This window comes from Homo sapiens, chromosome 1 (genome assembly GCF_000001405.40).
Source record: "Homo sapiens chromosome 1, GRCh38.p14 Primary Assembly".
Classification (NCBI taxonomy): domain Eukaryota; kingdom Metazoa; phylum Chordata; class Mammalia; order Primates; family Hominidae; genus Homo; species Homo sapiens.
In genome coordinates, this window is record NC_000001.11 from 183,151,312 (window position 1) to 183,165,822 (window position 14,511).

Sequence of the window (14,511 nt, forward strand, 5' to 3'; positions counted from 1 at the left end):
GGAAGGGGAACATCACACACCGGGGCCTGTTGTGGGGTGGGAGGAGCGGGGAGGGATAGCATTAGGAGATATACCTAATGTGGGTGACGGGTTAATAGGTGCAGCACACCAACATGGCACATGTATACATATGTAACAAACCTGCACGTTGTGCACATGTACCCTAGAACTTAAAGTATAAAAAAATATATATATATGTATATACAAAATTTTACTACTATTGCTTTATCCTTTCTCTCTCTGGCTCCCACAAATGAGAGGGAGAGAAAACTGTTTTAAGTTGCAGAGGTGATGCCCCTTTACCCATCATAATTCAATGTGTATTCCCTAAAGACAGAGAACTTTCTTATATAATTATAGTATAATTGTTAAAATCAAGAAATTAACATTGATACAATATTTTTAATCTACAGCCATTATTCAGATTTTACTATATGTGGTAGACAGAATAATGCCCCCAACAAAGATGTTCACTTCTCAGTTCCTAGAATTTGTGAGTGCATTAGGTTACTGATGTAATTAAATTGTAAATCAGCTGACCTTAAAATAAAGAGATTATTTGGACTATCTGGGTGGGCCCAATGTAATCAAAATGCTCTTCTAATAAGAAGAGGAAGACAGAAGCTGAGCGCGGTGGCTCACTCCTATAATCCCAGCACTTGGAGAGGCTGAGGTGGGTGGATCACCTGAGGTTAGGAGTTTGAGACCAACCTGGCCAACATGGGGAAACCCCATCTCTACTAAAATTACAAAAATTATCCAGGCGTAGTGGTGTGTGCCTGTAGCCCCGGCTACTCGGAAGTCTGAGACAGGAGAATTGCTTGAACCCGGGAGGCTGAGGGCAGTGAGCTGAGATCATGCCACTGCACGCCAGCCTGCACGACAGAGCAAGACTCCATCTCAAAAGAAAAAAAAAAAAGAAGAGGAAGACAGAAAAAGACATCAGAGTGATGCAATGTAAGAAGGACTCTGCACCATTGCTGGTTTGAAGGAGGAGGAAGGGGGCACGAGCCAAGGAATGTGGGGCAGCCTCTAGGAGCTGGGAAGGGCAAGGGAATGGGTCTTCCCCAGAGCCTCCAGATAGAATGCAGCTCTGCTGACACCACGATTTTAGCGCAGAGATCCCCATCTGACTTTTAACCCACAGAACCATAAAATAATAAATGTATGTTCTTTTTTTTTTTTTCGAGACAGAGTTTCACTCTTGTTGCCCAGGCTGGAGTGCAGTGGTGTGATCTCAGCTCACGGCAACCTCTGCCTCTCAAGTTCAAGCGATTCTCCTGCCTCAGCCTCCCAGGTAGCTGGGATTACAGGTGCATACCACCATGCCTGGCTAGTTTTTGTATTTTTAGTACAGACGGGGTTTTGCCATGTTGGCCAGGCTGGTCTCGAACTCCTGACCTCGGGTGATCCACCTGCCTCGGCCTCCCAAAGTGCTGGGATTACAGGATTGAGCTACCACATCTGGCCCTTTGTGTTCTTTTAAGCCACTAAATTTTAGGTAATTTGTTATGACTGCCGTAGAAAACTAATATACCATTTGCCTCGATAATATCTTTTATAGCAAAAGAAGATCCAAGATCATGTGTTGTGTTCAGCTGTCTTGTCTCCTTTGTTTCTTTTAGCTCCTGATCTTTCTTTGCATTTCATGACATTGACATTTTTTTAGAATAAGGGTAGTTATTTTGAAGAATGAGCCTCGATTTTCTTTGTCTGATGTTTTCTTTTGATTAGATTCAGATTATAAGCTTTTGGCAGGGAGATCACAGAAGTGATGCTGAATTCTTTTTAATAATACATTGACTGAATCAGGAGGCACATAAGTCATTACTGGCAATGTTAACTTTGAGATTTGATTAGGGTCGTGTCTTCCAGGTCTCCATTGTAAAGTTACTCTGTTACCTTTTGTAATAAATGTGTATTTTGTGAGAAGATATTCTGAGACTATATAAATATCCTGTTACTCCCCACATTTTTGTCCACCAGTTTTTGTATCCAGTGATGATGGCTACTAAATGGAGATTTTCTAATACATTTTTTGTTGTTGCTGTTTTGTTTTGTTTTGTTTTTGAGATAGAGTCTGTCGCCCAGGCTGGAGTGCAGTGGCATAATCTCGGCTCACTGCAACCTCTGCCTCCCGATTTCAAGCATTTCTCTGCTTCCGCCTCCCAAGTAGCTGGGATTACAGGCGCCCACCCCCACGCCTGGCTAATTTTTGTATTTTCAGTAGAGACGGGGTTTCGCCATCTTGGCCAGGCTGGTCTTGAACTCCTGACCTGGTGATCCACCCGCCTCGGCCCCCTAAAGTGCTGGGATTACAAGTATGAGCCACAACGCCCAGCCTATATGTCATATATTAATTGGCATTATGCTGGAGGTAAAGCTTTTGCTTCTCCCTTATTCATTTACTTACATATTTATATTATTTTAGATTCATGGGGTCTTATTTTATTTAATGGGGTACAACATATTGTTCTTGATTTTTATTTTGATTTCTAATTGTCCCGTATTTGACCAGTGGGAGCACTTTTTATTTTGTTTTTAATTGACACATAATAATTGTACATTATTTGTGGGGTAGAGAGGGAAGTTTCGATACATGTGTACAATGTATGATGATCAAATCATGGTGTTCAGCATATTCATCACCTCAAACATTCATCATTTCTTTGTGGTGAGAACATTCAGCCCCCTCTTTTCTAGTTATTTAGATATTTAGAAATATACACTATAATATAATTTACTAGAGTCACCCTATTGTGCTATAGAACACCAGAACCTACTCTCATCTAACTGTAATTTTGTACTCTTAACCAATCTCTCCCCATCTGCCCCTCTTCTCTCCTCTCCCCAGATTCTGGTAACCACAATTCTACTCTATACTTCTGTGAGATTATCTTTTTTAGATTCCACAAATGAGTGAGATCATACTGTATTTGTCTTTCTTTACCTGGCTTATTTCATTTAACACAGTGTCCTCCAGCTTCATCCATGTTGCCAAAAACGACAAGATTTCATTAGTTTTATGACTGAGTAGTATTCCATTGTGTATATACTGTATACCACATTTTATTTATCATTTCATTCATTGCTGGATACTTTGGTTAATTCCATATCTTGGCTATTGTGAATAGTACTGCAATAAACATGGAAGTACAGATTTGTCTTTGACATACTGATTTTATTTCCTTAAAGTATAGCCCCAGGAGTGAGATTGCTGGATTATGTGGTAGTTCTATTTTCAGCTTTTGAGGAATCTCCATGCTGTTTTCCATAATGGCTATACCAATTTACGTTCCTGCCAGCAGTATGTAAGGATTCCTTTTTCTCCACATCCGCAACATCATTTGTTACGTTTTTGCCCTTTTGATAATTGCCATTCTAATTGGGGTGAAGTGATATCTCACTGTGGTTTTGGCTTGCATTTCCTTGATGATTAGTGATTAGTACATGTTTTATGTGCTTGTTGGTCATTTGTATGTCTTCTTTTGAGAAATGTCTACTCAAGTCCTTTGCCATTATAAATTGGATTACAGTTGATCCTTGAGCAATATGGGTTTGCACTGGAAACATTGGAAAATACTTTGGAGGTATGTGGCAGTTTGAAAAATCTCACAGATTAACTGCATAGTCTAGAAATATTTTTAAAATAAGGAAAAGTTAAGTATCTCATGAATGCATAAGATATATGTAGATACTAATCTATTTTATCATTTACTATCATAAGATATACACAAATCTGTTATAAAAAGTTAAGGCCAGATGCAGTGGCTCACACCTGTAATCCCAGCACTTTGGGAGGCCAAGGAGGGCGGATCACCTGAGGTCAGGAGTTCAAGACCAGCCTGGCCAAAATGATAAAACCCCGTCTCTACTAAAAATACAAACAAAATTAGCTGGGTGTGATGGTGCATGCCTGTAATCCCAGCTGCTCCGGAGGCTGAGGCAGGAGAATCGCTTGAACCCAGGAGGCAGGGGTTGCAGTGAGCCAAGATCATACCACTGCACTCCAGCCTGGACAACAAGAGCAAAAACTCCGTCTCAAAGAAAAAGAAAAAAAAGTTGGCCGGGCGTGGTGGCTCACGCCTCTAATCCCAGCACTTTGGGAGGCCAAGGCAGGTGGATCACGAGGTCAGGAGTTCCAGACCAGCCTGGCCAAGATGGTGAAACACTGTTTCTACTAAAAATACAAAAATTAACCGGGTGCAGTGGCAGGCACCTGTAATCCCAGCTACTCGGGAGGCTGAGGGAGGAGAATTGCTTGAACCCAGAGGTTGCAAGTTGCAGTGAGCAGAGATTGCGCCACTGCACTCTAGCCTAGGCGACAGAGTGAGACTCCATCTCAAACAAAAACAAAAACAAGTTAAAATTTATTTCAATTTACACGCACAAACACAGGCTGTATGTGGTGCCATTTACAGTCAAGAGAAGCATAAACAAACATAAAGATGCAGTATTAAATCATAACTGCATAAAATTTACCCCAGTACATACTGTACTACTGTAATAATTTTATTGCCACCTCCTGTTGCTCTTGCTGTGAGCACAAGTGTTGTGAGTGTCTGCTTAAAACACCCTATGACACTAATCATCTCCACATGAACTGTTCATCTCTTCAGTAAATTGTGTATCACAGAAAAAAGTGATCTCTTGCACTTCCCACATCTTTGTCATCATGTTTAGTGTAATACCATAAACCTTAAATAATGCCATTGGACCCATATGAACTGCCACTAATGATACTGGAAGTGCTCCCAAGAAGCAAAGAAAAGTCATGATGTTACAAGAGAAAGTTGAATTGCTTGACATGTACTGTAGATCGAAGTCTGCAGCTGTAGTTGCTACCATTTCAGATAGATGATTCATCTTATAAACAGATTATGTAAATTTATGGTATTCATAAATACAGTACAGTATTATAAATGTGCTTTTTCTTCCTTAGGATTTTCTTAATAATGTTTTATTTTTCTCTAGCGTACTCTATTGTAATCATAGAGGATATGTAACATACAAAATGTGTTAATTCACTGTTTATGTTATCATTCAGGATTTCAGTCAATAGTAGGCTATTAGTAGTTAAGTTTGGAGGGAGTCAAAAGTTAAATGCAAATTTTTGGCTGCATGGGGGTCAGCACCCCTAACTCCTGCATTGTTTAAGGGTCAGCCATATTTGCTTTTTTGGTATTGAGTTGTTTGAGTTCCTTGTAATTTCTGAATATTAACCCCTTGTCAGATGCATATTTTTCAAAGTTTTCCTCCCATTCTGTAGGTTGTCTCTTCAATCTGCTAATTATTTCCTTTTGCTGGGAGTATCTTTTTTTTTTTTTTTTTTTTTTTTTTTTTTTTTTTTTTTTTTTTTTTTTTGAGACAGAGTCTCGCTCTGTCGCCCAGGCTGGAGTGCAGTGGTGCGATCTCAGCTCACTGCAATCTCCGCCTGCTGGGAGTATCTTTAGACTGGCTCCTGTGATCCTCTGATACATCCCCGTCATTCTTTGAGTGTTGTTTTACTTTCGGTATATCAAGACATTTCAGGCTAATCTTGTACCTTCCTTGCCTTAGTCCTGGAATCAGCTGTTTCGACAAGAAGCAAACATAGGTTTCTTTAATTCTCAAAATGCCATTGACCAAGAGCAACAAAAATAACAAAAAATAGGTTGCTCAAATGGATGTAAAACTCTCAAAAGTGATGCTGAAATGTTAAGCAAATAGCTCATTAGACTAATTGGCTTTAGGGGACATGGCCTTTTCTTTCCCTATAGATGATTGCTTTTTAAAAATGCATTATCAACAAATACTTTTGGAACACCTATGGCTCTTGTAGCCTACCCTACTGGTACCTATGGGTTTTACACTGTGACAAAGACAATTTTTTTCTATTTCATGAAACAAGACAAGAAGGCAGCAAAAAATAAAACATGAAAAACAGTAGAGTAGTCACCCCCTTATCCACAAGGGATATGTTCCAAGACCCACAGTGGATGCCTGAAACCATAGATAGTACCAAACACTATTATATACTATATTTGCAATTTGCTGAGATGGCTACTTCGTGACAAAGGGGCAGGGTAGCATATACGATGTGGGTATACTATACGAGGGGATGATGCATGTACTGGGTGGGACGAAGCAGGATGGCACGAGATTTTATCACGCTACTCAGAACAACACACAACTTAAAATGAATTATTTACTTCTGGAATTTTCCATGTAATATTTTTGTAGCATGATTGTCTGCAAGTTAACTGAAACCACAGAAAGCAAGCCCATGGATAAGTGGAGACTACTGTATACCAAAAATAGAGGAAAATGTATTTTCATAAAATAGAAATACATGAGCATGTTAATTTAAAAATGCACAGGGAAATATATCTATATTTATGTCTATCTAATCAATGTGTATATAATGAATGTTCAAGACTGTTCATTATGAGAAGTCTTTCAAGGACAAATTGTATTTGTATGAAAGGGTATATTTTTAGCTGTGTTGGAGAGAATATAATCTAGAAAATGAGCTTGGGGACATTGATCCAGATATGAAAATGCATGGACAGAGATTCAGTGATATGCCACTGAGAAGTTGAGTTTTTCTGGTTTTCCTCTCATCCATTCCTCTCTGTGTATTGATGTCCTGGAGACCAAGCCCTGTGGTCTGTATTCCCAGAGAGAACTCATGCTCCCTATGCTCATTGTCCATGTTCTAGTTTTTGGCTGATCATGTTGGCCACTCTTGTAATGTGATGTTGTTCTCATAAAACCAGTGACGGCCAGGCACAGTGGCTCATGCCTGTAATCCCAGCACTTTGGGAGGCCAGGGCAGGTGGATCACCTGAGGTCAGGAGTTTGAGACCAGCCTGGCCAACATGGTGAAACCCCATCTCTACTAAAAATACAAAAAATTGGCCAGGCGTGGTGGCGGGCGCCTGTAGTCCCAGCTACTCGGGAGGTTGAGGCAGAAGAATCACTTGAGCCTGGGAGGTGGAGGTTGCAGTGAGCAGAGATTGTGCCACTGCACTCCAGCCTGGGCGGTAGAGTGAGACTCGGTCTCAAAAAACAAACAAACAAACAAAAAACCACACACACACAAAAACCAATGACAACATAGCAAGTTTTTGGTTATTTCAAGCTCTCGTTGCTTATTTGAGGCTTTAAAGTGCCTAGTCATTAATCAGGGCCCAGAGTATAAAGATCTTACCATGTTGACATCAAAAGCATACCAATGGTAGTCTACTGGTGTCTTACTAAATTCTAAGGAAGGTCTGTCAAAAACTATTGAGGGCTTTATTATGCTCTTGCACTGAGCTTTATGAGGGTTGAATAGGTAATAAGACCAAGTTTGTATTTGCACAGGATTGTGGACTGCAGAACATCTCCAAGAGTGGTGGTTCTCAAAGTGAAGCTCTGGGCCCAGCAACATCTGTCTTGCCCGGGAACCTCTTAGAAATGCATTGTCAAACCCCACCCTAGACCGACTGAATCAGACAGTAGGGGTGGAAGGATTCAGAACAGTCTGGGTTTAATAAGCCCCTCACCTAAGTGATTCATCACATCTAATATATCTAGTAACTAGTGTACTGGTTCTTAACAATTTTCCCCCTGGTGTTAGCTTTCACCATTTGTATATCCTATGTGTCTGCATGTTGAACTCAACCAGACATTATCTTTACTTTCAGCTGCCCTTGCTAGGAAACAGGTTGCAACCTCTTTGAATTAGGAAGAGAGAAGTTCAGAATGTGTCTGTGCTCATCACAGAGTTAGAAACAATGAATGTTAACTCTTCTCTGAGTTTCTTAAGAAACTGAGATACTCTAAGCATTGTATAAACATTGACTTGGTTAATTAATCAAGATGTTCCATCTATGGAAGACAAAAGCCTTCTGAAAAACTAGGTGGAGACTGATACGACTGATACTGATTTTTAAAAACTTAACATAAGTATTTTAGTTCCCCATCAGTTTCTCTACTTTTCACACGATTTTCTAAATGGCAATTTTTTTTTTTTTTTTTTTGAGATGGAGTCTCCCTCTGTCACCCAGGTTGGAGTGCAGTGGCCCGATCTCGGCTCACTGCAGCCTCTGCCTCCTGGGTTCCAGTGATTCTCCTGCTTCAGTCTCCCAGGCAGCCGGGATTACAGGCCTAAATGGCAATTTCTCTTCATAGATGTGAACAGGCTGAGAGATGGTGGAATGGGCTGGGCTTCCTGGGGTTCATCATTACTCTCTACTGCTAGGACTTGGCACGTTTGTTCTGCATGGTTCCATGAACATAAAATAAAAGCGAGCCAAGTCTTTTAATGTGGGAGATGCATTTGAAATCAGACAACCAGTAAATATACCAAAAGACATCAAAACAAGTTCAAGTAAACCTTAGGCCCTACTGAGTGGCAGCCACCGTTCATGGACAATTTAGGTGTGTGATCTCAGGTTAAATCTCTCAATCTTGCCTGTGTTTCCTGTAAATGGGAACAACACTACCTTATAAAGTACTTCACATAAATGGGTAAGTATATGAAACAATATACAAAATTTAGTATAGTCATGGCAAACAAAGTTTTTGTGGGGCCTGAAGCTTGTACAATTTGGGAGTCCTCTTTAAAAAAAAAAAAAGAATATAGGATTTCAAAAGCAAGCACAGGGCTGGGAAGGGGTCCCTGAGCCCTGCTCTCCTCGCACAGGAAATCCACCTTTGTGCAGTTACTCTGTTTATTTTAAGCCAGGGGAGAGCAGAGCAATTGCTTCCTTCATGTGGAGGTGTCCATCAGTGGCTCCGTCACTGGGCGTGTGCATGACTGTACTTCCCTCTGCCGCAGACACCTCAGCCACCGTCTAGCCAGGCAAACCTGTTTGGTGTGCTCACTGCATGATGAAGGCGGGTGTGGCTCCCAGTGGGAGTGTCCCGCCTCCAGAACATGGCCAGAGGCTACAGAATCAGACTTTTGCCAAAGGAAGAAAGAGCGCCTGAAGCATGTGTTCACCGGGCAACTATGAATGGCTTGACTGGGTGGAGCCTTCAGTATCTTTTTAGTTAAGCCTTTTAGTCTCAAAAATGGAAGAGGCAAAGCTCAATTCTTAAAGATCACTTCTTTTTTTTTTTTGAGGCGGAGTCTCGCTCGGTCGCCCAAGCTGGAGTGCAGTGGCACGATCTCGGCTCACTGCAAACTCCGCCTCCCGGGTTCACGCCTTTCTCCTGCCTCAGCCTCCCGAGTAGCTGGGACTACAGGCGCCCGCCACCGCGCCCAGCTAATTTTTTTGTGTGTTTTTAGTAGAGACGGGGTTTCACCGTGTTAGCCAGGATGCTCTCGATCTCCTGACCCCATGATCCGCCCATCTGGGCCTCCCAAAGTGCTGGGATTGCAGGCGTGAGCCACGGCGCCTGGCCAAGATCACTTCTTAAAAGAGAATTCCATCTGCCTCCACCCGCATCACATTGCATATCAGAAATGGTAGTTTTGGGGTTGCCCTCAGACCCGAGCCTGCTCCAAACAGAACACAAACTGAACAGCAAGAACATAGACCTCGACTTTTCAGCCAGGACTTGGTGCTAGCTTTATTTTTATGAAAACAAAACAAAACAGCAACAACAACCAAAACAATGCTATTTCATTGAGTTGAAAGATCTAAACTCTTTTTTTTTTTTTTTTTTTTTTTTGAGACTGAGTCTTGCTCTGTCGCTCAGGCTGGAGTGCAGTGGCGCAATCCCAGCCGACTGCAACCTCTGTCTCCCAGGTTCAAGTGATTCTCCTGCCTCAGCCTCCTGAGTAGCTGGGACTACAGGAACCCGCCACCATGCCTGGCTAATTTTTGTATTTTTAGTAGAGACGGGGTTTCACCGTGTTAGCCAGGATGGTCTCGATCTCCTGACCTCGTGATCGGCCCACCTTGGCCCCCCAAAATGCTGGGATTACCGGAGTGAGCCACCGCGCCCAGCCAGGGGAGAAAGTTCTATGAAGAAAAATAAAGCTGGGAAGGGAGAGAGAACATGTTTGGGGGTAGGGTGAGCTTACAAATTTATACAAGATGGTAGAGAAAGCCTCTTTAAGAAAATGGCATTTAATTGAAGACTGGACCCATGTAGATATCTAGAGAAAGCACATTCCAGGCAGAGGCACCAGCAAGGGAAAAGGTCCTGCAGTGGAAGTGGTCCCGTGGCTGGGGCTGTGTGAGAAGGAGGACAGTGAGACCCATGGGGTGGGAGGTGGGGCAGGACACATAGTATTGGCTCTTGAGGCCATTCCAAAGACTTTGGCTTTTACTCAGAATGAGATAGAATGCCACTGGATGCCTCTATAACAAGGAATGACATGACCTGAGTCACACTATAATAGGAGTTTCCTGGCAGTTGTGTTAAGGTAGACCAAAGTGGGACAAGGGCAAAAGTAGGGCGAGGAGATGGGATGCAATGACAATCATCCATGCAAAAGACAAGGGGGGGCTGGAATCAACGTGATTACAGTGGAGGTTGATGAGAAGTGATCCAATTCTGATTATGATCTGAAGGTAGAGTAAGACAGCAAGATTTTCTATGGAAGAAAAGAGTCAAGAATGACTTCAAGATTCTTGGACTGAACAAGGGTATGGAAGACTGAGGCAGAAGAGGTCTAGGGGGACAGAACATCAGGAGTTCAGCTCTGCATGTATTACATTGGTGATATTAATTACCCATCTAAATGGAGATTTCGATTATGCAGTTAGATATATGAGCATAGTGTTCAGGACAGCTGTGCAAGCAGGCTGAAGACATAAATTTGAAAGTCATCAGCATATATGCTTAAAGCTTTGAAACTAGGTGGGAAAATCAAAGGAGTGAGCGTAGACATAAAAGAGATTCAAGGCCTGAGCTTCTGGTGGCTTCTTCTACCTTAAGGGGCACTTCTATGTTAAGAGGTGGAGAGAAAAGGATTCAGCAAAGTAGACTGAGAAGGAGATGCCTCATGGAGAAAAGCCTTATGAGCACAATGTCCTGGAAACCAAGAAAAGAAAGTGTTTTAAGGAGAAAGAAATGATCAGTTATGTTAAATGATGCTGTCAGAGCCAAGAAGATTATGGCTGAGAATTGGCCATTGAGTTTACAACATGGAAGGCCCTGGAGACCTAGGTATAGGCAGTTTCATTGGAATAATGGAGGCAAAAACCTAATTGCCATGGAGAGGTTTCTTGAAACCTAATTGCAGCAGTTTCAAGAGAGACTAGGAGAACAGAAACTGGGGAGAGTCAGTATGGACAACTCTTTCGTATTGCTCTAAAGGGGAGCAGAAAAATAGGGCAGAAGCTAAAGTATAGCATGGGTTCAAGGCAGTCGTTTTGTTTTTTTGAGATAGGAAAAACCAACAGCATGTTGTAGGCAGGCGGGCAATATCCTAGAAGAAAGAAAAAAACCAACGATGCAGGTAGAGAATCCCTGAGTGCAGTCCTTGATGAGGGCAAGGGAGGAGCCCTCCTGTTGACCTGAGATGGGATATGTGATCATGGGGAAGGTAGGCAAATTGTGGGATGTGGCTGTAGAAGTGTGTGGTAGAAGTTCTCTTCTGAGTACTTCTGGGTTTTTGTGTGTCTTAGGAAATAAATCATTAGCAGAGTGACATGGGGGAGGAAGAGTGGAAGGTTTGAAGAAAAAGGGAAAGTGTGAAACGGTCTTTGAGGAGAACAGGAAAGCCAATGGACTGGGGAAATGGATCTGATGGCCAGGTAGTATTAAGAACCCCTTGAAGCTAATGAACGTGAATTCAAAGTGAGGCAGTAAGTTGTGGGTGTGTGTGAAGGATGGATTCTAATGACTAACCATGGAATTTAAAATGGGTTAGGAGGGCTATGATGGTAAAGGAAGGTGGGAGAAGTGCAAAGGTGGCAGGTTCAATGGATCGTAGGCTCCAGAGGGTTGAGATATTATTAAAGTCTGGGCACTCGAGTGACTGAGCTTCAAGAATCAACGGTGGTGATTAGAGACGGGGTGCTTGAAACTGAGGTTGTGGAAAAAGTACACGTGATTGAAATGGCACCATCTAGATGTGATCACAGTAGTGAGTAGCTGAAGTAGGTGTTTTACTAGATAATTTGTTTGGTTAAGTAATCACACTTTTCTCTCTTTCAATCCTGTCCCAGTTGAAGCCACTTCAGTACATTGTCCTGAAGTTTTATTTCTCAAATAAAGCCTAACGAAATATTTATTCACTTTGTCAGCCCATAGGCCATGAATGACACATCGTGACTCATGGATGTCCTGGCTCTTTGCATCCTGCACACAGACACATGATGGACACTTGATGAGACTCCTTGATACAAAAGGGTGGGTTTGAGTCCCACATGAACACTAGCGTGCATGCTTGGGGTTGATGAAGTACACTTGTGTAATTTTTGTAAAGCCAATGGTTTAAATAGGGATATCTGATTTACTCTAACCAAATATCAGATTACTGTATTTCCTTTTGTGGTTCCATGTGCATTCTGCAAACTAGCATTCTTTTAGTGTACCTCTGCAGGCAAAGAATTTGGAAACTACATACCTATAAAACATTAATCAAAGCCCTTAGATTGACTGGATCCCACCCACCACTCTCCCCGCTGAGCAATTGAGTTAATTAAAAGAAAAATATCTCAAGAATATAAGCTCATATCAATAATCTCATTTAAAAAAATAAACAAAGATTTCCAAAATTCCAAGTGAGCAAAGGGTGAGCAAAACTTTGACTTATACTGTCTGTATTAACTATAGTGCTGAATAAAAATAATGGTTAAGAATGAACAAGATCCAAAATCTTCCAGAAAGATCATAATAATCATGCTTTAGATAGTGGGTGACACATTGAGGACACCTAATTTGTTAAATGAAGGTGTGAGTGTGCCTAATCTGGAAATGAAGTGCCATACTTTAGAAAAATACTGTTAGCAGGGGTATAGTTGGCCAGAAACCACTTGCAACACCAACATGTTCTTCCCTGAACTTTCTGTGTAATGAAGGCAGTTCTCCATTTGCTGCATTTGTAGGAAATGGGGAAACTGAGGAGGCTCTGAAATGGCCATGAGAATTCTTTTTAAGAATCTTCACCACAATTACACTGGAGCTGTTCAAGGACTTTTTTCCTTCTGCTCATTTTAATGGCCTGAGATAATAGATCAAAATGAAGGCCTGTCCTCAGATGTGTATGAAAGCACAGAAGAACAGGATAAGACAGGAATCAAGGCCTCTACCACTGGGGAATGCAGGTTGCTATATACCAGGCAATGGGTGGGTTTCCAAGGAGATGTGTCAGAGCCTTGGAATGCTGCAACTGGGCTGTGCCTGACCCAAGGTGGGGGCGGGTGCAAGGAACCTGCTGGCACATTAGAGGTCTTTTCTTCTGGAGGCAAACTTTGGAGAAATGTACAACACTAGCCTATGTCTGTAAGTTCATGCTTTGGGAACAAAGTTTGAATTGCTTTCAGAGAAAAAAAATATACTGATGGGGTGAAGATAATGGTGGCTAATTTTGATCTGACCAAACAGATATAAAAACTACAGGCTGATCCAACAATAATCTTCTCCCATTTTCTTTCAAATGAGCAACCCTAAAGCATATACTTTTTAGTTTTACAAGGAAGGAGTCTCTCCAAGGAAAAGTTCAAGTGGATTTTTGGTTACCCAGCAAATTATTCTAATTAAGACATGGCTTTTATTCTAAAAATAATAATAATAATAATAATAAAAGGGTGTGTGTATGTGTATGATTTTTAAGAGCATGTTAATTCTAGGACAGTCTGAACATCTGTGTCTTAGGAGAGGCATGTTTTAGGAGATTGCCTCCTTTTGGAGGAGGGGCAGGATGCCTGCCTACAAAGGGCGCCCAGTGGCCTGGAACACCAAAAGCACATTCTCAGGGCATGCAGAGGTAACTGGTTGAAACTTGCCAAAGGATGCTTTTCCATTTGGCTCACAGCAATTCATTTATATTGGTTTTGACCATCCCACTCATTTTATTTTTAAGTCCTTATTCATTTTCGGGCCTTTCCGTATAGGGTTAGCAAGGAATTACTAATTCCGGATCTGCCCACTGTGACACTCAACTAGAAGATTAAGTCAGGTTTTAGAAACCTTGTTTTTGTCATATTTCCCCCATGCCCAGGCTTAAGAACACTCCAAATACTAATAATTACAGGAAATTCCATCAATTTGGGGGAATTGGCTTTAGACTATTTTTTAGTTGGTGTTCAGTGAAAATAAAATAATTCATTCAAGTAAAGACTAGATGGGAAAAATTACTTGAGGAGAAAAGACAAATCTCCCTTACAGAGGAACTACAAATAATTTATGTAGATGTTCTGCCCTCAAGGAGATGCAGGATAACTCACACTCCTTAAGTGTGGGCAGCACATAGCGAATTCCTCTCAGAGCACAGTATTGAAAAGGGCGGGGAGAGTCATGTTACCATGGGCAACACTACAAACTACTTCACCCAGGGGCTCCAGAGTAACCCCAACAGTGGGAAGTACTCTTGACACAATGAAATGAAAATGGCACTTGCCTCTGTGGTCTTCCTCACCA

General features: G+C 41.7%; 1 annotated feature.

Moving 5' to 3' along the window:
* Positions 7,803 to 8,304: an enhancer, noted in NCBI's record as "H3K27ac hESC enhancer chr1:183128249-183128750 (GRCh37/hg19 assembly coordinates)". NCBI's record gives its function as "activates a minimal SCP1, AML or CMV promoter by ChIP-STARR-seq in primed H9 embryonic stem cells {active_cell/tissue: H9 hESC(primed)}" and the evidence as "EXISTENCE:reporter gene assay evidence [ECO:0000049][PMID:30033119]".